Below are 25,130 nucleotides of genomic sequence, written 5' to 3'. Positions count from 1 at the left end.
CCAGCCCCGCCGCCTTACCTCAGCCGCGCTGCAGACCGACGGGCGGACCGGGTCAACAGGAGCCGCGGCGCGCGGGGGCGCGGGGGGCCGGGCACCGACGCACCTCAGCGCGAGCAGCGGCCGCCGCGAGCCGCAGGGCGCCGCTCCGCAGCCCCATCACGCAGCAGCCCGGCACCGCATCGAGGTGGGAGGTGGGCGGTGGGCGGCGGACAGGAGTGCGCGAGTGCGGGAGGCCAGGGCGCGGCGACGGCCGGCGGTGACGGCTGCGGAGGACGGGGAGCTGCTCCGACGCGCGCGGGCGCCTCCCAGGACCGCTGCCGTCACACTGCCCCGCTTCGGCCCTCGCGAAACTCCGCCCGCAGTCGCCGGCGCGGGACACCGCCCCGAGCTGGGCCTCTGCGCGTCACCTCGTATCCGCCCCGGCGCCCGCGACGGACACGGGCTGTGACCAATCACAGCACAGAGCTCGGGGCGGCCAGCCAATCGTAGGGTGAGCCGGGGAGTGGGGCTGCTGCGGGGGGCTGCAGGAACATCGAGCGCCCCCTGGTGGCCCTCGGGCCGGCTCAACCAGGGGTGCGGGCTGGCCAAAGCCGGAGCCCGGAGTTCCCTCCCGGGTGACCCCCAAGGGCATTCGTCGGAATCAGCCGCCCCCAGCCACCCCGATAATCCGCCTTATACGGGGACAAAAGATTGACTGAGTGGAGCGGGGCGGGGCCCAGGGGTCCTGACGCCCGCAGAGGAGCTGGGATCAACATGGGAGGCGCCGAGAGTGGAATCATTGTCCGTCGGAAAACATCTCGCAGGCGGAACCGGCCGAACGCGGCGCGGTGGGAGCGGAACCCCGAGAGGGGATGAGCGCATCCCGCGGGAAGCTGCCTGGCCTATTCTTACAGAACCCGAGCAAAACACCTCCCACGCGCCACCTCGGGAGAGAAGGCGGAATGAGTAATGGAAAAGCATGACTTGGTGGGCATTCCACTTGTCTCCTTGGGAGACCGCGGAAGGGCTGTGAGGAGAGGAACAAACGCTTTGCACCGTCCCTGAGTTAACGAGCCCAGCCCCCTTCTGGGAGATGCCCTTGAAGGAGGGAGAGTGGAAGTTAGAAACCCGGAGGACACAAAAGCACGAGCAGTGATTTCTTTAAAATCAGATTTAGATTCAGCTGGAAAGAAAAATCTCACTGTTCAGAAACTGTTCAATTCAGTACTTAACAAAATATAATCTTCAGTGATAATATATTCAATTATCAGGCCCAGGCCGAGCACTATTACTTTATAAGGTTGTGAATTATTTTTATTTACTAGCAGACATTGAAAGTAAAATCACATGTCTTCCCCTGAATTAAATACAGTATTATTGTGAGTAAAAGGTATTATGTACAAGCATATGCACTAAAACATCGAAATTAATTTTCTACACTAATAATTCTGGAAAATCTCCACCACCACTCAAGTCCTCAGACTCTTCATCCGCTTTTATTGATCACGTCTCATTTTATAGAATTTAAGCTCCACCTACCTGCAAAAGGATTTGACATAGCTTACACTAAAGCATACAGCAGTGAAACCGTATAGCTTTAAAATAGGCGTAAAATTCATAATAATGAAACAAGCAAGAGACTTTTTAAAAGCTGTTTGAATGAGAGGCATGCCTAGAAAGAAAAATTTTTTTGTTTTGTTTTGAGACAGAGTTTTACTCTCGCCCAGGCTGAGCTCAGTGGCACGATGTCAAATCTCTGCAACCTCCGCCTCCCAGGTTCAAGCGATTCTCCTGCCTCAGCCTCCCGAGTAGCTGGGATTACAGGTGCCTGCCACCACGCCCGGCTAATTTTTGTATTTTTAGTAGAGACGGTGTTTCACTATGTTGGTCAGGTTGGTCTTGAACTCCTGACCTCAGGTGATCCACCTGTCTCAGCCTCTCAAAGTGCTGGGATTACAGGAATGAGCCACCGCGCCCGGCCAGAAAAACAATATTTTAAAAATCCATAGTCAAGGAAATATGTTGCCACTGAGCACAGAACTCAGCTCTTAGCTTCCTGACGGCTAAGAGTAAAATGAAACTATAGTAGGTTAATAAAGAGGAACTCATCAATTCAACAGTAGACACCACTTCATCATAGCGTGGACCTCCTTGCGTAAATACTGTGGTGAGCGCCATGGAGAGTTACGAAAACCTGGGTGGCTGTATTGCTTGAGCTCTCAATGGAGCACAATCTAAAAAGAATCTAAAACGTAGTGAAGAACCAGGCGCGGTGGCTCACGACAGTAATCCCAACACTTTGGGAGGCTGAGGCGGGTGGATCACTTGAGGTCAGGAGTTCGAGACCAGCCTGACCAACATGGCAAAACCCCATCTCTACTAAAAAATACAAAAATTAGCCAGGCGTGGTGGGCACGCCTGTAATACCAGCTACTTGGGAACCTGAGGCAGGAGAATCACTTGAACCCGGGAGGTGGACGAGGCGGCAGTTGCAGTGAGCTGAGATCCTACCACTGAACTCCAGCCTGGGAGATAGAGTGAGACTCTGTCTCAACAAAAAATAAAATAAAATTTAAAACAAAAACGTAGTGAAGAGGGTGTGATTGTGATTGGCAGGAGAAGAAGCTAGCCAAAGGGCACACAGAAGGCACAGAAGGGTCAATAAAGGCAAAGAAGGCTGCTCCAGGATCCAAGGCCAAACAGCCCACTCTGCATAAGCCTTTTGCCTCTCTGACAGATGAAGTCACACTGCCCAGCCAGTTTCTCAGATTACAAATTCTGTATAAAAGCATCTCTTTAAAATGATAAATAAATTACTAGAAAATTGAATGTAGCCATGATCTGGTAGGGCTGTCTCTGGAATGCAAGGATACGAGAACATCAGAAGTCCTAGTCACGTGGTGCACTGCCACTCTCCCATCACAATCACAATCACAATCAGGTTTCTGGATACAAAATCAATACACAAAAATCCGAAGTGTTCCTTTTTGATAGGAAGACTTTATTATTACTATTATTTTAGACAGGGTCTCACTCTGTCACCCAGGCTGGAGTGCAGTGGTGTGATCACAGCTTACTACAGCCTCAACCCTTGCCCCCTGGTTTAATCCATCCTCCCACCTCAGCCTCCTGAGTAGGTGGCACTATAGGCACACACCACCACGCCCAGCTAATTTTTCTATTTTTTGTAGAGACGGCTGGTATCCAGCTCCTGGACTCCAGTGATCCATCAACCTCAGCCTCCCAAAGTGCTGGGACTACAGGTGTGAGCCACTGAGCCTGGCCTTTATTGCTATTTTTAATGGGATCTTTTTAAAAAATCAAGTCTTCCCGGCCAGGTGCTGTGGCCCACGCCTGTAATCCCAGTACTTTGGGAGGCAGAGTAGGCTGATCGCTTGAGCCTAGGAGTTTGAGACAAGCCTAGGCAACATAACGAGACCCTATCTCTACAAAAAATACAAAAAAAAAAAAAAAAGTAGCCAGACATGGTGGTATGTACCTGTAGTCCCAGCTGCTTGGGAGGCTGAGTGGGAAGATCAATTGAGCCTGGAAGGTCAAGGCTACAGTGAGCTATGATTGCACCACAGCACTCGAGCCTCAATGACAGAGTGAGATCCTGTCTCAAAAAAAAAAAGAAAGAAAGAAAAAAAGCAATAAAAGCTATTCAATATTTAAGAATAAATGCACCTGTAATCCCAGCACTTTGGGAGGCCCAGGTGGGTGAATCACTTGAGGTAAGGAGTTCGAGACCAGCCTAGCCAACATGGTGAAACACAGTCTCTACTAAAAATACAAAAAATTAGCCAGATGTGGTGGTACATGCCTGTAATCCCAGCTACTCGGGAGGCTGAGGCAGGAGAATGGCGTGAACCCAGGAGGTGGAGCTTGCAGTGAGCCGAGATCTCACCACTGCAGTCCAGCCTGGGTGACAGAGCGAGACTCTGTCTCAAAAAAAAAAAAAAAAAGGTGCAGGATAATAGGTGCGGGACAGTGGCATTTATACATAAAGTCTGAAGTATGAATATGAGCACTATACTGTTTAGGACTAAATTTATGTATAGTCAAGTGTGAAAACATGGATGGCAATGACAATCATCAAATTCAGGATGAGATTAACCCAGGAAAGAAAGAGAGAAAAACAAAACAAACAAACAAAAAAAGGGAGGATGACATGAGGATCTGCAACTTTATGTGTAATATTTTATTTCTTGAAAAACAAAATAACAGGAAGATGGAAATGTTGAGTTGGGAGGAAAAACCAGAGAATTTATTGATTTGTCTTGAACTCCTTATTGTTATTATTATTTTTTGTTTGTTTTTTGAGATGGAGTCTCGTTCTGTCGCCCAGGCTGGAGTTCGGAGGTGCTATTTCTGCCGTTGATGATTTTCCGCCTTCCATTTTCTTCTCTGGAAATGTCTATTATTGATTGATTGATTGACCGATTAATTGATTTAGAGACAGAGTCTCCCCTTCTCACCCAGGCTGGAGTGCAGTGACTCGATCTCGGCTCACTGCAACCTCTGCCCCCCAGGTTCAAGCGGAGCGATTCTCCTGTCTCAGCCTCCCAAGTATCTGGGATTACAGGTGCCCACCGCCATGCCCAGCTAATTTTTGTGTTTTTAGTAGACACGGGGTTTCACTGTGTTGGCCAGGCTGGTCTCGAACTCCTGACCTGAGGTGATCTGCCCGCTTCGGCCTCCCAAAGTGCTGGGATTACAGGCGTGAACCACCACGCCTGGCCCTGTCATTATTATTATTGTCTTTTTTGTTTTGTTTTGTTGGGAAAGAGTCTCACTCTGATGCTCAGGCTTGAGTGCAGTAATGCGATCTCAGCTCATTGCAACCTCTGCCTCCTGAGTTCAAGCAATTTTCGTGCCTCAGCCTCCTAATGTAGCTGGGATTACAGGCATGTGCCACCACACCTGGCTAATTTTTGTAATTTTAGTAGAGATGGCCAGGCACAGTGGCTCGCGCTCGTAATCCCAGCACTTTGGGAGGCTGAGGCAAGCAGATCGCATGAGGTCAGGAGTTCAAGACCAGACTGACTAACATGGAGAAACTTCGTCTCTACTAAAAATACAAACTTAGTCGGGCATGGTGGCACATGCCTGTAATCCCAGCTGCTCGGGAAGCTGAGGCAGGAGAATCGATTGAACCCGGGAGGCAGATGCTGCAGTGAGCTGAGATCGCGCCATTGCAATCCAGCCTAGGCAACAAGAGCAAAACTCTGTCTCAAAAAAAAAAAAATTGTAGTAGAGATGGGGTTTTGCCATGTTGGCCAGGCTGGTCTTGAACTCCTAACCTCAAGGGATCCACCCACCTCGGCCTCGGCCTCCCAAAGTGCTGGAATTACATGCATGAGCCACTACGCCCAGCCTATTGTCATTATTTAATACGGTGTTTAATACAGTGTATGTGGGTGGGTATCATGTTCGTTTTTTTTTTTTTTTTGAGACAGAGTCTCACTGTGTTGCCCAGGCTGGAGTGCAGTGGCACGAGCTCAGCTCACTGCAAGCTCCCTGTCCCGGGTTCACGTGATTCTCCTGCCTCAGCCTCCCGAGTAGCTAGGATTACAGGCTCACACTACCACGTCGAGCTAATTTTTTGTGTATTTTGAGTAGAGACGGGGTTTCACTATGTTGGCCAGACTGGTCTCGAACTCCTGACCTTGCAATCTGCCCGCCTTGGCCTCCCAAAGTGCTGGGATTACAGGTGTGAGCCACTGACCAGGCCATCATGTTAGTTTTTATACTTTACTACCTGTTTAAAAAATACATATGTAATTTATTCTGGGCAAGGTGGGATGCACCTGTAGTCCCAGCTACCTGGGAGGCTGAGGTGGGTGGATCTCTTGAGCCCAGGAGCTCTAGGCTACAGTGCACTTTTATTGTACCTGTAAATAGCCACTGCACTCCAGCCCAGGCAACAGAGCAAGACCCCACCTGTAAAAAAGTAAATAACTTCATAACTTAAAAAATGATAGGTCAGGCTCAGTGGCTCACACCTGTAACCCCAGCACTTTGGGAGGCTGAGGCAGGTGGTTCACCTGAGGTCAAGAGTTTGAGACCAGCCTGACCAACATGGTGAAACCCCATCTTTACTAAAAATACAAAATTAGCCGGGCGTGGTGGCACAGTTCTATACTCCTAGCTTCTCAGGAGGCTGAGGCAAGAGAATCTCTTGAACTCAGGAGGCAGAGGTTGCAGTGAGCTGAGATCGTGCCATTGTACTCCAGCCTGGGCAACAATAGAGAAACTCCATCTCAAAAAAAAAAAAAAAAGATATTTGTCCAGAGGCATCCCAGCTGTGATGCCACCAGTAATCCTCTGCAGACTGGGTCGGCAGCTACATCAGAGGGCATGGGACCGATCCCCAGCAGCTGAGCCATGTGTGAGGAGCCGAGTGGGTGGGAGACAGCAAGCCATAATCCTCTCTCTCTGACCTGGTTTTCAGATGCCCTAGTCTCACAGCCTGCACTGTAAAAGGCCACCGCGTCTCGGCCACACATTTGGTAAATGTGTTATGGAAATCCCTTCCTGACTGAGTCCATATTCACTCAAAACTGCCACATGCCGACTCTTGCACTGACAAAAATGTGGGAAGAGCCCAATTTCATTTCTGGCAAAATCCTCTACAGGACCATCCATGCCCATAAAGAGAATTACTTTCCAGTTATTTTAACCAAGGTCAGGTAACACATGGACTTGAGTCCTAGATCATGTTGCATGAGTAAAAATAGGAACTGCTTACATTGTTGGACTTAAGAGACTAGGCAGCTCTCTACCCCATTAAATCTAGAAAATATATGCTTTCCTATGCAAAATCTTTATAAATATTAATTAATGTCTATTTTATGTAAGTATGTATCTATTAAACACTGAATTAAATAATGACAATAAGGAGCTTAAATCAATAAATTTTCTGTTTTTTGCCAATGAGTACTTTAACAAACAGGATGCAATCTGGTTTAACTCATTAATATTAATGTACAGTGGCACCACTTATGCCAGGGTTATTTGGAATCAGAAAATCAAAACTGGAAGATGCTTTAGAATTGGTCTGCTACCTAGTCAGGAAATAAGCACAGCAAGTCTCTAGTTTGCTGAGGACCGAATTTTTTTTTTTTCTTTGAGACTGTGTCTGGCTCTGTCGCCCAAGCTGGAGTGCAGTGGCGCAATCTCGGCTCACTGCAACTTCCACCTCCCAGGTTCAAGCGATTCTCGTGCCTCAGCCTCCCAGCCTCCCTAGTAGCTGGGACTACAGGCACCTGCCACCACACCTGACTAATTTTTGTATTAGTCAGAGATGGGGTTTAGTAGAGATGGGGTTTCACCATGTTGGTCAGGCTGGTCTCAATCTCAAGTGATATGCCCGCTTTGGCCTCCAAAAGTGCTGGGATTACAGGTGTAAGCCACCATGCCTGGCCTAGGGCTGATTTTTTTTTTTTTTTTTTTTTTACGGAGTCTCGTTCTGTCACCCAGGCTGGAGTGCAGTGCTGTGATCTCGGCTCACTGCAACGTCCGCCTCCCGAGTTCAGGCAATTCTCCTGTCTCAGCCTCCCGAGTAGCTGGGACTACAGGCATGTGCCACCACACCCGGCTAATTTTTGTATTTTTAGTAGAGACGGGGTTTCAGCATATTGGTCAGGCCGGTCACAAACTCCTGACCTCAGGTGATCCGCCTGCCTCAGCCTCCCAAAGTGCTGGGATTACAGGTGTGAGATACCACTCCTGGCCTAGGGCCAATTTTTATATGGTGGCTTCAACTGCCTAGAATCCAGAAGGAAGGAAAAGAAAATTAGCCCAGGAGAATACAAAACTCATGCACCTTCTTCACCGGAAAGTTCCTCAACCTGCGTTGAATGTCTCTTTATTGATATTTCACCACTAATTCTAACAGGCTGCATTGCTGGAAATCTTAGCTAACCAGGTCGATAGGGGCAAAATGGAAATGGGGGTGGGGGCAATGCTGGAAGAAGGCTTATTCCAACAAAGATTAAAATTTTTAAAGCATATGTAAAATTTCAGAGAACATAGCTATTTGATGACATGTGAGTCCAAAGGACGTTTGGCTTTTTTTTTTTTTTTTTTTTTTGAGATAGAGTGTCACTCTGTCACCCAGGCTGGAATGCAGTGATGCCATCTCAGCTCACTGCAACCTCCGCCTGCCAGGTTCAAGCGATTCTCCTGCCTCAGCCTCCCAAGTAGCTGGGATTACAGGCACATGACACCACACCCAGCTAATTTTTGTATTTTTATCAGAGACGGGTTTTCACCATGTTGGTCAGTCTGGTCTTCAACTCCTGACCTCATGATCTGCCCGCCTCAGCCTCCCAAAGTGCTGGGATTACAGGCTTGAGCCACCGCACCCAGCAATTATATTTAAATGAATGTCAGTTTACCAAGTACTATATTCATCACACTGCAGGTTAGTCAATCACAGAGATTGGCCGGGCACGGTGGCTCATGCCTGTAATCCCAGCACTTTGGGAGGCCGAGGCGGGTGGATCACGAGGTCAGGAGATCGAGACCATCCTGCCTAACACGGTGAAACCCTGTCTCTACTAAAAATACAAAAAAATAGCCGGGCGTGGTGGTGGGCGCCTGTAGTCCCAGCTACTCGGGAGGCTGAGGCAGGAGAATGGTGTGAACCCAGGAGGCGGAGGTTGCGGTGAGCCGAGATCACCACTGCACTCCAGCCTGGGTGACAGAGCAAGACTCCGTCTCAAAAAAAAAAAAAAAAAAAAAAAAAATCACAGAGATCACCGTGGCCCTAAGGACCACATAGTAAATACCGAACAATCCGGACAGAAAAAACAAACCAAGAACCAGAGTCTTATTTTTTTAAAGACTGAAAGAGTGAAATTATTATTTTTTTTTGAGACAGAGTCTCACTCTGTCACCAGGCTGGAGTGCAGTGGTGCGATCTCGGCTCACTGCAACCTCTGATTCCCTGGTTCAAGCAATTATCCTGCCTCAGCCTCCCAAGTAGCTGGGATTACAGGCATGTGCCACAATGCCCAGCTAATTTTTGTATTTTTAGTAGAGACAGGGTTTCACCATGTTGGCCAGGGTGGTCTCTATCTCCTGACCTCGTGATCTGCCCCCCTTGGCGTCCCAAAGTGCCAGGAAATTTTAATTTTGTGTGTTCTCTTAATTTCCAATGATAAATTCAAGATTTTGTTTTCATCAGCTGTGGGCTCTTCGCACACATGGTCAGCCCTGTAATCAGCATGTCTTGCTGTTTTCCCTGGTCCTCACTGGGGAGCTATCATTTAGGCCAGATAAGAATACTCTGCATAGATTTCCTTCTTGTGAATTGCAGTTCGTGCATCATTTTTCTGTAACAGGCATTTTTACTAATTAAGAACAACCTTGTATCAATTAACTTTGGTCTTAAAGCCATGATTAAGGAAACCAAATTGTTGTTTACTGAAATTGTTGTGCCAGTGACAGATGGCCCTGGAACACTTGGGCAGGACACAAAGCCTGAAATGGGCTTCCTACAGCATCACAGCGAGTTCAGTTGCCAGGAAGGATCCCAGAACACAAGAAGAGGGACATTCTAGGCAAAACAGAGAGCTTGGAGCACGATGCCCACAGCTGAAAATACACAGCAGAGTCATGGTATCTCAGGTGACCCCATCGACGACTCTGTTCTCCAAATCTCCAGTCCAAGGAGATGATCCCAACGACATCACTAACCCTATTCGGGCTCCAGCTCCCAGTGCCTCATAGAAACTCAACTTTATATATTTTTTTTGAGAGGGAGTCTTGCTCTGTCGCCCAGGTTGGAATGCAGTGGCACAATCTCGGCTCACTGCAGCCTCTGCCCCCCGGGTTCCAGTGATTCCCCTGCCTCAGCCTTGCGGGTAGCTGGGATTACAGGTGCGTGCCACCACATCCGGCTAATTTTTGTATTTTTAGTAGAGACAGGTAAGTTTCGCTATGTTGGCCAGGCTGGTCTGAACTTTATATTTCTCTTGCTTAGAGCACAGTCACTTGAGATGAATATATAATTCATGCTGACAGAAAGCATCTACTAGAGAGAGGGCATTAGAGAGGGCTTGAGAGCACCTGGTCATTCCAGCTGGACTGTTTGAATTCTAATTCTGTCACTTGCTATGTGCTGTGGAGCAACTGCATCGCTTCCATCATCCAGTTTCCTGGTCTCTAAAATGGGAATGAAGATAATACCCACCTCACCCTCATGTTGTGAGAATCAAAGGAGATTGTGACTGTAAAACGCAATGTCTGCTCATGTTCACAACTAGAGAGCCATGGTCTCCTTCAAGTCAAGAGACCGGAACTCAATAAACCCTCTCTCTGTGTGTCTGTCTCTCTCTCATCGCTTATCACTCCTGTGATGAGCTTTCCTATCTATAGATTACAGAATCACAGTATCTAAAATGTTATAAGGAAATGAACCTGCTACCTCCTAGCTGTGGAGTCATGGGCAGGTCAATATCTCTGGACTTCAGTTTTTGATGTATAAAATAAGGCAATTAGAGTAGATGAATTGAATTCTAAAGTATATTCAGGCTCTAATATCTTAGCACTCTGTACCTACTGTATTTTTTTCTCCCTATCCATAAAGAGGAAGAATTTAAGTTGATGGTGATGACAGTAATGACAATGGCTGGTATTTATTGAGCATTGACTCTAAACCAAGAATTGTATTAAGCACTTCACATTAATTATTATTATTACTGTTATTATTATTATTATTATTTTGAGATGGGGTCTCACTCTGTTGCCCAGGCTGGAGTGACGTGGTGCGATCTCAGCTCACTGCAACCTCCACCTCCCGGGTTCAAGCGATTCTCTTGCCTCAGCCTCCCAAGTAGCTGGGACTACAGGCATGTGCCACCATGCCCGGCTAATTTTTTGTATTTTTAGTAGAGATGGGGTTTCACCGTGTTACCCAGGATGGTCTTGATCTCCCGACCTCATGATCTGCCCGCCTCCACCTCCCAAAGTGCTGGGATTATAGGCGTGAGCCACCATGCCTGGCCTTAATGATCTTTTATAATCTTTACAGCAGCCCTATGAAATAGAGCCTCTTATTGCTGCAAAAAAGGGAACTCAATAAAAGTTTTGGGGCCGGGCACGGTGGCTCACTCCTGTAATCCCAGCACTTTGGGAGGCCGAGGTGGGTGGATCATGAGGTCAGGAGATCGAGACCATCCTGGCTAACAAGGTGAAACCCCGTCTCTACTAAAAATACAAAAAATTAGCCGGGCGCGGTGGGGGGCGCCTGTAGTCCCAGCTACTTGGGAGGCAGAGGCAGGAGAATGGCGTGAACCCGGGAAGCGGAGCTTGCAGTGAGCCGAGATTGCGCCACTGCACTCCAGCCTGCGCGACAGAGTGAGACTTTGTCTCAAAAAAAAAAAAAAAAAAAAAGTTTTGGAGCCATGGCTGGGCACAGTGGCTCATGCCTGTAATCTGAGCACATTGGGAGGCTGAGGCAGGCAGATCGCTTGAGCCCAGGAGTTTGAGACCAGCCTGGGCAACGTGGTGAAACCCCATCTCTACAAACAACAACAACAAAAACGGGATTATGGAGACTGAAAAATGTCCTTCCCTACAACCCTACCAAAGATACCAGGTCCTAATCCCTGGAACTTGTATATTACTGTATATAAATTAGGATCTTTGTAGATGTGAGTAAATTAAAGTTTTGACATGGGGAGATTAACTGGGATTATCACAATAAGCCCTAAATGCCATCACATGTAGCCTTATAAGGGGGAGGCAGGCACTGGAGGCCAGGAATGGTGGCTCATGTCTATAAACCCACATTTTGGGAGGCCAAGGCAGGAGGATTGCTTGAGTCCAGGAGTTTGAGACTAGCCTGGGCAACATAGTGAGACCTCATCTCTACTAAAAGAGGCTAGGTGTGGTGGTTCACCCCTGTAATCCCAGCTACTCTGGAGGCTGAGGTGGGAGTATCACTTGAGCACAGGAGTTTAAGACCAGCCTGGGCAAGATGGCAAGACCCTGTCTCTAAAAAATTTTCAAAAATTAACTAGGCATGGTGGCGCACACATGTAGTCCCTTCTACTTGGGAGGCTGAGGCAGAAGGATTGCTTGAGCCCAGAAATTCAAGGTGACAGTGAGCTATGATCATGATCATGGCACTGCACTCCAGCCTGGACAATAAAGTGATACCTTGGCTTAAAAAAAAAAAAGGGCCAGGCGCGGTGGCTCACGCCTGTAATCCCAGCACTTTGGGAGGCCAAGGCGAGGGGATCACTTGAGGTCAGGAGTCTGAGACCAGCCTGGCCAACATGGTGAATCCCTGTCTCTACTAAAAATACAAAAATTAGTCAGGCGTGATGGCGCATGCCTGTAATCCCAGCTCCTCAGGAGGCTGAAGCAAGAGAATCACTTGAACCTTGGAGGCGGAGGTTGCAGTGAGCCGAAATCGTGCCACTGCACTCCAGCCTGGGCAATAGAGAGAGACTCTGTCTCAGAAAAAAGAAAAAAGGAGGCAGAGGGAGATCTTACAACAGATGGCGGTGTGAACATGGAGGGAGACATCGGGGAGATGAGGTCACAAGTCAAGTAACTCTGGCAACCACCACAAACTGGAGGGGTGAGAAACAGATTCTCCCCTAGAGCCTCCAGGGGCATAGCCCTGCCAGCACCTCGATTTTAACCTGTGATACTGATTTTGGACATCTGGCCTCAAGAACTATGAGCGAATAAAATCCTGTTGTTTCAATTCACCCAATTTCTGGTAATTTATTACAGCAGCCACAGGAAATGAACACAGAGGTAAGTAATTTATTTGTGGTCACAGTCAACAGTGGTGGAGACAGGGTTCAAATCCAGCAACCCCTGGCTCCAAACCTCATGCTCTAAAGCACAACACTGGATTTCCCCTTAGAATACATGAAACAGCCAGACACAGTGGCTCACACCTGTAATCCCAGCACTTTGGGAGGCTGAGGTGGGTGGATCACCTGAGGTCAGAAATTTGAGACCAGTCTGGCCAACATGGTGAAACCCCATCTCCACTAAAAATACTAAAAAAATTAGCTGGGCGTGGTGGCATTTGCCTGTAATCCCAGCTACTTGAAAGGCTGAGGCAGGAGAATTGCTTGAACCCAGGAGGCGGAGGTTGCGGTGAGTCGAGATAGCGCCACTGCACTGCAGCCTGGGCAACAAGAGCGAAACTCCATCTCAAAAAAAAAAAAAAAAAAAAAAGAGGGCCAGGCACGGTGGCTCACGCCTGTAATCCCAGCACACGAGGTCAGGAGTACGAGACCAGCCTGACCAACATGGTGAAACCCCGTCTCTACTAAAATACAAAATTAGCTAGGTGTGGTGGCGCACGCCTGTAATCCCAGCTACTTAGGAGGCTGAGGCAGGAGAATCACTTGAACCCTTGAGGCAGAGGTTGCAGTGAGCCGAGATTGAGCCAGTGCACTCCAGCCTGGGTGACAAGAGCATAACTCTGTCTCAAAAAAAAAAAAGAATATGTGAAACAAACAGAGATTGACTAAGTATTAACTAACAAAAATAAAGAAAGGAGGAGGAAAAAATCTGAAATTCTATCAATAGCGAGGTAACATTCTAAGTGGCTGATTCAACCACATTCATCCTCTCTGCTGCAAACATCCCAGCTTCAGATGTGTTACTTTAAAAGTTAATTCTCCCACACACTTTACATCAAAATTAGGTCATACCTGCATCCCCGCCAAGAATGGCCAAGAATGAGTGCGCTTGAACAAAAGGATACAGTTTGTAAAAAGAAAAAAGATGAGATATTTATGGCTAAAGAGGTTACTTGGCAGCAATTTTAGGCTCTTAGTCCACTCCTGGCAAAGAGAAACAGAAATTGCTTATCTTTTTTTTAAAGATTTGTTTCCTTTTTTCCCCTTCAACTGGAACTCTGTCCTTGATTTGGTCAAAAGGAAAATTGGTAAGAACTAAGAAACTTGATTTTTATTCCCCTCACTTGCTACCTTCCTGACTGTCTGAGTTCCCAAGCAAGTCAATTAATAGGAAAGTTGGGATTTGGGGTTTGAATTGAATCCTGGTCTATAATGAGCCCATATTTTTCTCTGCAGGAATGGACTCTCAGTTCCAACTCTGCACACACATTAAATCGTCCAGTTTTTACTAGAAGTATCTTATTTTCATCAGTGCCTGGCTCCTAATCCACCAATTTGATTCATCTCATCTCCCTCCACCCCTTTTTTTGCCATTTAAATGGATATGCACCCTTTTTTTTTTTTTGAGATAGAGTTTCGCTCTTGTTTCCCAGGCTGGAGTGCAATGGCATGATCTCCACTCACTGCAACCTTCGCCTCTCAGGTTCAAGTGATTCTCCTGCCTCAGCCTCCAAGTAGCTGGGATTACAGGCATGTGCCACCTCACCCAGCTAATTTTTGTATTTTTAGCAGAGATGGGGTTCCACCATGTTGGCCAGGCTGGTCTCGAACTCCTGACTTCAGGTGATTCACCTGCCTCGGCCTTCCAAAGTGCTGGGATTACAGGCGTGAGCCACTGCACCCGGCCACAAAAATTTGAGATAAACGGTCATAACATCAGGCCAGCCTGCAATGCTCTAGGTGAAATATTGTTTGCACCCTAGATTTATCGGACACAAAGCAATAGGCATGGAGAGACCTGCAGATGAGGCTCCTTTGGCTGCCACAGGATTTCTCAATCATCCTAAAGAAATCAACTGGTGCTGGGCACAGTCGTTCATGCCTGTAATCCCAGCACTTTGGAGGCTGAGTTAGGCAAATCACTTGGAGTCCAGGAGTTCGAGACCAGCCTGGGCAACATAGGGAGACCCTGTGTCTACGAAAATAATTTAAAAAATTAGTCAGGCATGGCCGGGCATGGTAGCTCACGCCTGTAATCCCAGCACTTTGGGAGGCCAAGACAGTCAGATCACGAGGTCAAGAGATCGAGACCATCCTGGCCAACATAGTGAAACCCTGTCTCTACTAAAAATGCAAAAAAAATTAGCTGGGCGTGGTGGTATGCACCTGTAGTCCCAGCTGCTTCTTGGGAGGCTGAAGCAGGAAAATCACTTGAACCTGGAGGTGGAGGTTGCAGTGAGTCCAGATTGCGCCACTGCATTCCATCCTGGTGACAGAGTGAGACTTCGTCTCAAAAAAAAAAAAAAAAAGAAAGAAAGAAAAGAAAATTAGCCAGGCATAGTGAAGTGCACCTGTAGTCCTGTAGTCCCATTTACTCAGGAGGCTGAGGCGCGAGAATTGTCTGATCCTGGGAGGTCCAGGCTGTAATGAGCCATGATGGCACCGCTGCACTCTAGCCCATGGTAAAGAGAAATGTGTCAGGCATGGTGGCTCACATGTGTAATCCTAACACTTTGGGAAGGCAAGGCAGGGGGCTTGCTTGATCCCAGGTGTTTGAGACCCGCCTGGGCAACATAGGGAGAACCTGTCTCTACAAACAATTTAAAAATTAGCCGGCGTGGTGGGAGAATCGCTTGAGGCCAGTAGGTTGAGGCTGCAGTGAGCCATGATTGTGCCACTGCACTCCAGCCTGGGCAACAGAGACCCTGTCTCAAAATAACAACAACAAAAAAACCCTGGCAGGGCGCTGTGACTCACACTTGTAATCCCAGCACTTTGGGAGGCTGAGGTGGGTGGATCACTTGAGGTCAGGAGTTCGAGACCAGCCTGGGCGACAGAGTGAGACTCTCTTTCAAATAAAAAGAAAAACGTTTTTGCATCACTGAAGGCCTCCCTAGATTGTAAGCAAAGACAGTGAAACACAGCCCTCTAAGACAAGGCAACTCTAAGGAAGAAGCTAGGCATTTATTTATTTTTAATTTAATTTTTTTTTGAGATGGAGTCTTCCTCTGTCACCCAGGCTGGAGTGCAGTGGTGCGATCTTGGCTCACTGCAACCTCCGACTCCCAGGTTCAAGCGATTCTCCTGCCTCAGCCTCCCGAGTAGCTGGGATGACAGGCAGTACAACCACGCCTGGCTAATTTTTGTATTTTTAGTAAAGATGGGGTTTCACCATGTTGGCCAGGCTGGTCTTGAATTCCTGACCTGAAGTGATCTGCCTGCCTCAGCCTCCCAAAGTGCTGGGATTACAGGCGTGAGCCACTGTGCCCAGCCCAAGCATTTAGATCTATAATATTTATATAAACAATTGACTGTGTTTGTAACTAAAAATTAACCCTGCTTATTTATAGCAGGCATTTCCTTACAAGAGCTCAAAGTTTTTAAAAAAGCGATGACATCAGCAATTTCTTTCTACACCTGTGATATTGACAGGTAACATGCTCATTTTACAAAAAGACTGAAAGGTAGAGAAATAATCTCCAAAGAGGCTGCAAACCCATCAGTGCAGGGAACAGAGACCAGAGACCTAGTGACCAGATAAGCCCTGAGCATCAACCAGCTCTCTCTCTCTTTCCTTTTCTCTCTCTCTCTCTCTCTCTCTCACACACACACACACACACACACACTCTCTCTCTCTCTCTCTCTACACCAACAGACTTTCGAGGTCTCGCAAGGTTGGAGATACCACGTTCGACCACAATACAGTCTGCCTGCCCCCTTTTTACTTTTCCATTACTGGCCATTTCTCCAACGTGCTTAGCTTTCAACAAAACAGCATAAATAATTTAAACCATCATAAAAAGCAATACGCGATACAGAAGGACGGAAGATTTAGAGACTGCCTGCTGGAAATCGGCAACACTACAGTTTCTTTATTCATCCTGGTATCCCACAGGGGTTGGAAAGACGGAAGCAAAGCTCTCGCTGGTGTTTCTTTATTCTCCCAAGAGTGGCTTATAGCATTTGGGGGCAGGGAGAAAAGGCTGAGCTGCAGTGATTTCAATGAGAGGCTGTGTGGTCACAGGCAAGTAACATAACCTCTCTGAATTTTGGTTTCTTCATCTGTAGAGTGAGTATCTACCACAAGGTTCTCGGGATTATTAGATGGAGGGTGTTTGTTTGTTTGTTTGTTTTGAGATGGAGTCTCACTCTGTCACCCAAGCTATAGTGCAGTGGCGTCATCTTGGCTCACTGCAACCTCTGCCTCCCGGGTTCAAGTGATTCTCCTGCCTCAGCCTCCTAGGTAGCTGGGATTACAGGCGCGTGCCACCATGCCTGGCTAATTTTTGTATTTTTAGTAGAGATGGGGTTTCACCATGTTGGGCAGGCTGGTGTCGAACTCCTGACCTCAAGTGATCTACCCACCTCAGCCTCCCAAAGTGGTGGGGATTATAGGCATGAGCCTCTAAGCCCGGCCAGATGGAGTTGTAATCTACACCACTGAAGTGGAGAGGCCAGAACAGAGAAGGAAGCAGATGGAACTGAGAAACCACATAGAGACTGAGAGATCCTGAGGAGAAAGAGGCATTTGGGTTCTGGGAGAGGAGGTGGTGGCAGCTTGGAAAAGAATGGGTGCAGCTCTGGGCGGAAGGGAAGCTGGGAGAGGCGGACGTGTCTTCTGCCTGCCCCCATCACCCTATAATCCTGCACCTGTCAAAAGCAACCCAGGGTGCAGGAGGAGTTCCAGGGAGGCACAGATGTCTGACTGTGTTGACAGGAGCGGAGAGATGGCTGACATCAATAGATAGGCTGACGCAAAGTGTCCCCCTTCTCTCCATTCCCTAAGGACCAGCTGATTAAAACAAATGTAAGGCCAGGAGTGGTGGCTCACACCTGTAAACCCAGCACTTTGGGAGGCCAAGGCGGGAAAATCACTTGAGTCCAGGAGTTGGAGACTAGCCTGGGCAACGTAGTGAAACCCTGTCTCTACAAAAAAATACAAAAATGAGGCCGGGCACGGTGGCTTACGCCTGTAATCCCAGCACTTTGGAAGGCCAAGAAGGGTGGATCACCTGAGGTCAGGAGTTCAAGACCAGCCTGGCCAACATGGTGAAACCCCATCCCTACTAAAAATACAAAATTAGTTGAGTGTGGTGGCACAAGCCTGTAGTCCCAGCTACTCGGGAGGCTGAGACAGGAGAATCACTTGAACCCGGGAGGTGGAGGATGCAGTGAGCTGAGATTGCACCATTGCATTCCAGCCTGGGTGAGACAGAGCAAGACTGTCTCAAAAAAAAAAAAAAATTAGCTAGGCATGATGGCGTGTGTCTGTGGTCCCAGCTACTCAGGGGGCTGAAGTGGGAAGATCACTTGAGCTCTAGAGGTCAAGGCTGCAGTGAACCGTGATTGTGCCACTGCACACCAGCCTGGGCAACAGAGTGAGACGCTGTCTCAAAAATAAATAAAATAAAACAAAATAAATGTAAAAGACTCTTGGAAAAGAGCAGTGCTGGAGGAGAGACACAGGAAGGTTTCTTGAACGGCAGGGTGACGTGTGGGGACGGCACATGGGGAATTATGGCCTACAATTTAATGCCACAAACTCTGTCCACCTCCAGCTCACCAGGCGTGTCCACACACACGCTCACCAGGAGGGCACAGCTTAGGGCCTGAGCCTTGACCTTGCTCAGTACACACTGCTGTTGCCATCCAGGTGGGTTGTAACACCCAGGGGATTAGCAGCCCCAGGAAAATAACCAGACATCTGAGGAGCAAATGGCCAGAAATTGGAGACAATAAACTGAGCAGTTTATATCAGGGGAAGCAGAATGAATGGACTGGACACAACAGAAGTTTTAAATAAGCATAATAAATATCTTCAAAGAGATAAGAGATGCTATTAGTAACAAGTAATAGAATAAGCCTTTTTTTTTTTTTTTTGATACGGAGTTTTGCTCTTTCACCCAGGCTGGAATGCAGTGGCGCTATCTCGGTTCCCTGTAAGCTTCGCCTCCCGGGTTCACGCCATTCTCCTACCTCAGCCTCCCGAGTAGCTGGGACTACAGGCGCCTGCCACTACGCCCGGCTAATTTTTTGTAATTTTAGTAGAGACGGGGTTTCACCATGTTAGCCAGGATGGTCTCGATCTCCTGACCTTGTGATCCACCCGCCCTGGCCTCCCAAAGTGCTGAGATTACAGGCATGAGCCACCACACCCAGCCTGGGTGACAGAGTCTTACTCTGTCACCCAGGCTGGAGTGCAATGGCGCAATCTCAGCTCACTGCAACCTCCACTTCCCAAGTTCAAGCAATTCTCTTGCCTCAGCCTCTGGAGTAGCTAGGATTACAGGCGTGCACCACCACACCCTGCAAATTTTTGTGTTTTTAGTAGAGACGGGGTTTAACCATGTTGGCCAGGCTGGTCTCGAACTCCTGCCCTCATGTGATCCGCCTGCCTCTGCCTCCCAAAGTGCTGGGATTACAGGCATGAGCCACTGTGCCTCACATATAATAATTTACCGAATTGTACATCTATGTTTCATTCATTTTGCTGACTAAGTGTTGAAATAGCTTGGATATTTGTCCCTGCCGAAACCTCATATTGAAATGTAATCTCCAGTGTTGGAGGTGAGGCTTGGTGGGAGGTGTTTGGGCCATGGAGGGATCCCTCGTGGCTTGGTGCCATCTCTACTTGTGATAGTGAGTGAGTTCTTACCAGATCTGGTTGTTTTAAGAGTAAGTGGCGCCTCTCCGCACCTTGCTCCTGCTGTTTCTCTGTGAAGTGTCTGCTCCCCCTTTACCTCCCACCATGAGTAAAAGCTCCCCGAGGGCTCCCCAAACACCAAGCAGACACCGGTGCCACCCTTGTACAGCCTGCAGAACCATGAGCCAATTCAATCTCTTTTCTTTATAAATCACCCAGCCTCATATATTCCTTTACACTGCAGAGGTGTCCAATCTTTTGGCTTTCCTGGACCACATTGGAAGAAGAAGAATTGTCTTGGGCCACACATAAAATACACTAACACTAACGATAGCTGATGAGCTAAAAAAAAAAAAAAAAATCGCAAAAAAAATCTCATAATGTTTTAAGGAAGTTCATGAATTTACGCTGGGCCACATTCAGAGCTGTCCTGGGCTGCCTGCAGCCCACGGGCCCCAGGTTGGACAAGCTTGCTTTATAGCAATGCGAGAATGGCCTAACATAGGTGTTATACTTTATTTATTATTATTATTATTATAATTATTATTATTTGAGATGGAGTCTTGCTCTATCACCAGGCTGGAGTGCAATGGCGCGATCTCAGCTCACTGCAACCTCCGCCTCCTGGGTTCAAGCGATTCTCCTGCCTCAGCCTCCTGAGTAGCTGGGACTACAGGCGCACGCCACCATGCCCAGCTAATTTTTGTATTTTTAGTAGAGATGGGGTTTCACCATGTTGGCCAGGATGGTCTCGATCACTTGACCTCGTGATCTGCCTGCTTCGGCCTCTGAAAGTGCTAGGATTACAGGTGTGAGCCACTGCTCCCAGCCAGGTGTTACACTTTATAATAAAAAGATGGGGCCCAAAGATAAACAACAACAAAACAAACAAACAAACAACAACAACAACAAAACAAAGAAAAGGTGGGCCAGGCACAAGGGCTCACACCTATAATCCTAGCACTTTGGGAGGCCGAGGCAGGAGGATTGCTTGAGCCCAGGAGTTTGAGACCAGAGTGGGCAACATAGTGAAACTCCATCTCCACAAAAAATACAAAAAATTAGCCAGGCGTGGTGGTGCACACCTGTAGTGCCAGCTACTCAGGAGGCTGAGGTGGGAGGATCGCTGGAGCCTGGGAAGTTGAGGCTGCAGTGATCTGTGATCATGCCACTGCACTCCAGCCTGGGCAACAGAGTGAGACCCTGTCTCTAAATAAATAAATAAATAAATAAATAAATAAAATAATTAAAATAAAACTGACTAGGAAGTAAGTTCTAGAATAATACAAACAAAAACCTAAAAAACACGAGAGAAAGGGCAGAAAAGCACATACAGAAGGATAGATAGTTTACAAAGGGAGAAACCTGTGTGGCTAGTTCTAGTTTCTAAGACAGCTGCAACAAGACCTCCAGTCCTCCGTGCTATTCTTGAAACATGGCATTGAGACTCCTCCCTACTGAGAGGTGGGGTCTGTGTTTCCTCTCCTGGAAACCGAGCATGCCTGTGGCCACAGCAGAAGTGATACCATAAGACCTCTGGGCTGCTGGGCCATAGAAACCCAGCTTCTGCCTGGTCTTCTCAGGGTGCTAGCTCTCGGAACCTAGCTCCAGAGAGGGCACACCTGGGTGTGCCAGCCAACAGCCAGATGTGAGTGAGGAAGCCCTAAGGGTGACTCTAGCCTCAGCCACCATCTGACGGTAACAGTGTAAGATCCCTGAGTGAGAACAGCCCAGTGAGCTCAGTCAACCCCAAAACCATGATAGACATTAACAATTTCTTTTTTTTTTTGAGACGGAGTCTGTCGCCCAGGCTGGAGTGCAGTGGTGTGATCTCGGCTCACTGCAACCTCTGCCTCCTGGGTTTAAGCGATTCTCCCGCCTCAGCCTCCCAAGTAGCTGGGGTTACAGGCACCCACCATCATGCCTGGCTAATTTTTGTACTTTTTGTAGAAACGGGGTTTTACCATGTTGGCCAGGCTGGTCTTGAACACCTGACCTCAGGTGATCTGCCCGCCTCGGCCTCCCAAAGCAAAGTGCTGGGATTATAGGGGTGAGCCACTGCACCCAGCCCATGATAGATATTAATAGATTCTGTTTTAAGCCACTAGATTTGGGCGATTAAGATTTAGGTCTTTGGAAGTGGGTGCTGTTGAAACAAAGTATAATGCATGTGGCATTGGCTTTGGGATGGAGTTAGTAGGCAGAGGATAAAAATGTATTGAGAACACCGTTAGTGAGGCTTATAGGAAAGTGAGTAAATACTGTTGGAAACTGCAGGAAAGGGGACCTCTGTTACTTAGAGGTGGAGATTTTGTCAACACCGTTGTCTGCGGTGACTTGGAAAGGAGAAAATCTGCCAAGTGAACTCAATGATCTATGTCAGGAGATGTGAAGGCAGAATAATGAAATACCATTTGGCTTCTTTCATTGCCTGTAGAAAAATGTGAGATGAACTGGCAAAAAAAAAAAAAAATTTAAAAAATTAAGAAATGGCTTCTGGTCAGAAATCAAAAACAGTGCACTTTCGGGACGATATCTAAAGATGGGGTAAAAAATGTGACCGCAGGCCGGGTGCGGTGGCTCACGCCTGTAATCTCAGGACTTTGGGAGCCTGAGGCAGGGGGATCACCTGAGGTCAGCAGTTCGAGACCAGTCTGGCCTACATGGTGAAACCCCGTCTCTACTAAAAATACAAAAATTAGCTGGGAGTGGTGGCTCATACCTGTAGTCCCAGCTTCTCGGGAGGCTGAGGCAAGAGAATCACTTGAACCTGGGAGGCGGAGGTTGCAGTGAGCTGAGATCACGCCACTGCACTCCAGCCTGGTGACAGAGTGAGACTCAGTCTCAAAAAAAAAAAAAAAAAAAGCCTGACTTCAGAATCCTTTATTAAGACCTCAGAAAGATTTAAGAGTTACACAAGTAATCCAAAATAGAGAAAAGTTTATCCAGAAGAGACTTGTAGCTGCGGCTTTTGCCTAACAGAGCAAACTCCAGCAAGATTCATAGAAAACCCACAACATTTTAAGGTAATTGGTCTGGTCAAACTGCCTCCAGCTTAAATGAAAAGGGACAGGACAGAGAAAGTACAACATCAAAAGAGACTTTTAAACCCCTATATATATATAATATTATAATATTTATTATATAATAATGCATTATATAATATATATTATATATTATATAATAATGTATTATATAATATATAATATATATGTATTATATAATATATAATATATATGTTATTATATAATATATAATATATATGTTATTATATAATATATAATATATATAATTATATAATATATAATATATATAATTATATAAATTATATAATATATAGTATTATATATAATTATATAATATATAGTATTATATATATAATTATATAATATATATTATATATAATTATATAATATATAATATTATATATATAATTATATAATATATTATATATAATTATATAATATATAATATTATATATATAATTATATAATATATATTATATATTATTATATAATATATAATATTATATATATAATTATATAATATCTAATATATCATTCTATAATATATATTATATATTATTATATAATATATATTATATATATTATATATTATATAATATAATGTATATTATTATATAATATATATTATATATTATTATATAATATATATTATATATTATTAAATAATATGTATTATATATATTATTATATATTATATAATATATATTATTATATAATATATTATATATTATAATATAATATATATTATATATTATTATATAATATATATTATATATATTATTATAATATATAATATTATATAATATTATATTATATATATATTTTTTTTGAGATGGAGTCTTGCTCTGTCACCCAGTCTGGAGTGCAGTGGCTCCATCTCAGCTCACTGCAACCTCCGCCTCCCAGGTTCAAGCAATTCTCTGCCTCACCCTCCTGAGTAGCTGGGATTACAGGTGCCTACCACCACACCTGGCTAATTTTTTATATTTTTAGTAGAAACGGGGGTTTTACCATCTTGGCTAGGCTGCTCTTGAACTCCTGACTTTGTGATCCACCCACCTCGGCCTCCCAAAGTGCTGGGATTATAGGCGTGAGCCACCGCACCCGGCGTTACTGCAACATATGTATATATTTTTTTAATAAGCAGGAAATGTACTGAGAAGGCTTAATTGCAAGCTCAGTTTTTGTTTTTTGTTTTATGGAAAAGGAAGAAAAGATTCAGAGGACAAAAAGAGCCAAGAGGGTGGAGCTGAGAGGCTTGGTGAACAATTCCTGGGCTGTAGGACTGAGCCCTGAACAAGGAACTGGTGACATATGCCTGGTTGGATCTCAGAATTATTAATACTATGGACCAGTGACTCCTGTGGGGTACCATTTTCCACCTTTTTGAACAGGATCATCCAGAATGGTTTTCCCATGCCTGTCCCATCATTGCATGCATGGTGTGTGTGCACATGTTGTGTGTGCATGTGGTGTGTGTGTGCACGTGTGTGTCTATGTGGTGTGTGGTGTATGTGTGCACGTGGTGTGTGTGTGTGTGCATGTGTGTGTAGGTAACTTGTATCTTTCATTAACAGATCTTTAAATCCGTAAGATTAACACTCAAGGAACTACGTTCAAAGAATCCCATCTGAGAAGCCTCATCTGCAGCTGGACTTGATTTCAATGATGAGATGCTGGACTTGAAGCGGATGCCCTGATGGGATGCGGTTTGGGAATCTCACGGGAAGGAAATAAGGCATCATTTTGCAGATATGAAGAATGTAAATTGTTGCCAGAGGAGGAACGTGGCAAATGTTATTTGCAAGATGGTCAGAACGACGTCTCCCATCCCAGAAGCTCTTCTCACAGAGTGACGTTGACCTCCCTCCCAGCATGAGGCGGGTTCTGCATTTCTTCCCCTTCAATCCAGGCAGGCTTGTGACTGCTGCTGAAGTGACACTATGTGACTTCCAAGCCTAGGCTGTAAAAGGGCAATACACAGCTTCTGTCTGGTCCTCTTGGAAGCTTGCTCTTGGATCTTCCAGAACTGTGGGGGATAAAATCACTGTTATTGAACCAAGCCACTCCATTTTGGGGTGATTTTGTTATGCAGCAATAAATAACTGATACAACTAGAGTAACAAATATATGAAGAGATTAATTCATTCAACACATATATTTGCCAGGCACACTTATAGGTGCCAAGGATACAGAAAAAAATCTCTGCCCCCCCCCACCCCGGGCTTACATTCTAGTGGGGGGAAGTGGACTGTAAAGTACATAATAGATATAGCATGTTAGATAGTGATAAATGCCAAGGAGAAAATGCAAAGAAAGGGAATAGCAAGGGATACCAAGGTTAGGTGAATAAATTACATTTTTAAATAGGGTGGACAGGGAAGGACTCACCAAGGTGATATTTGAGTAAAGATCTAAAGCAAATAAGGGAGTGACTGACCCATATGTATATCTGTGGGAAGAGGATTCTTCATAGAGGAAGTAGTCTAGTGCCCTAGCAGGGGTGGAGAGCAATGAGGCCAGAATGGCTGAGTTTTTGGAGTAAGGGGAGTGTTGTAGGAGATGAGATCAGAGAGAATGCGAGGTGAGCGTTTTGCCTTCCAGGTTATTGTAAGGATTTCTTTCTTTCTTTTTTTTTTT

At 46.1% G+C, this 25,130-nt stretch overlaps 1 protein-coding gene across 3 annotated transcripts in view, besides 4 other annotated features; it reads right to left on the bottom strand.

Moving 5' to 3' along the window:
- Nucleotides 1–327, bottom strand: part of KIF1B (kinesin family member 1B) — a 171,034-nt gene extending 170,707 nt beyond the window's left edge. For 2 of the 3 annotated variants that reach the window (NM_001365951.3, NM_183416.4), the window contains exon 1: nucleotides 19–327. The gene's annotated coding sequence lies outside the window, so the exon portion shown is untranslated. The remainder of the gene's footprint in view (nucleotides 1–18) is intronic. The other variant, NM_015074.3, reaches the window with a different exon arrangement.
- Nucleotides 96–615: a silencer, noted in NCBI's record as "silent region_243". NCBI's record gives its function as "represses an Ori minimal core promoter by ATAC-STARR-seq in GM12878 lymphoblastoid cells {active_cell/tissue: GM12878}" and the evidence as "EXISTENCE:reporter gene assay evidence [ECO:0000049][PMID:35858748]".
- Nucleotides 646–725: a silencer, noted in NCBI's record as "silent region_242". NCBI's record gives its function as "represses an Ori minimal core promoter by ATAC-STARR-seq in GM12878 lymphoblastoid cells {active_cell/tissue: GM12878}" and the evidence as "EXISTENCE:reporter gene assay evidence [ECO:0000049][PMID:35858748]".
- Nucleotides 812–1,106: a silencer, noted in NCBI's record as "tiled region #4147; K562 Repressive DNase matched - State 4:PromP". NCBI's record gives its function as "represses a minimal TATA promoter and a strong SV40 promoter by Sharpr-MPRA in K562 cells {active_cell/tissue: K562}" and the evidence as "EXISTENCE:reporter gene assay evidence [ECO:0000049][PMID:27701403]".
- Nucleotides 21,209–21,258: an enhancer, noted in NCBI's record as "active region_144". NCBI's record gives its function as "activates an Ori minimal core promoter by ATAC-STARR-seq in GM12878 lymphoblastoid cells {active_cell/tissue: GM12878}" and the evidence as "EXISTENCE:reporter gene assay evidence [ECO:0000049][PMID:35858748]".

This window comes from Homo sapiens, chromosome 1, assembly GCF_000001405.40.
Source record: "Homo sapiens chromosome 1, GRCh38.p14 Primary Assembly".
NCBI classification, from domain to species: Eukaryota; Metazoa; Chordata; class Mammalia; order Primates; family Hominidae; genus Homo; species Homo sapiens.
Note: the sequence above shows the minus strand (reverse complement) of the source record. Positions and strands in the feature narration are given on the sequence as shown.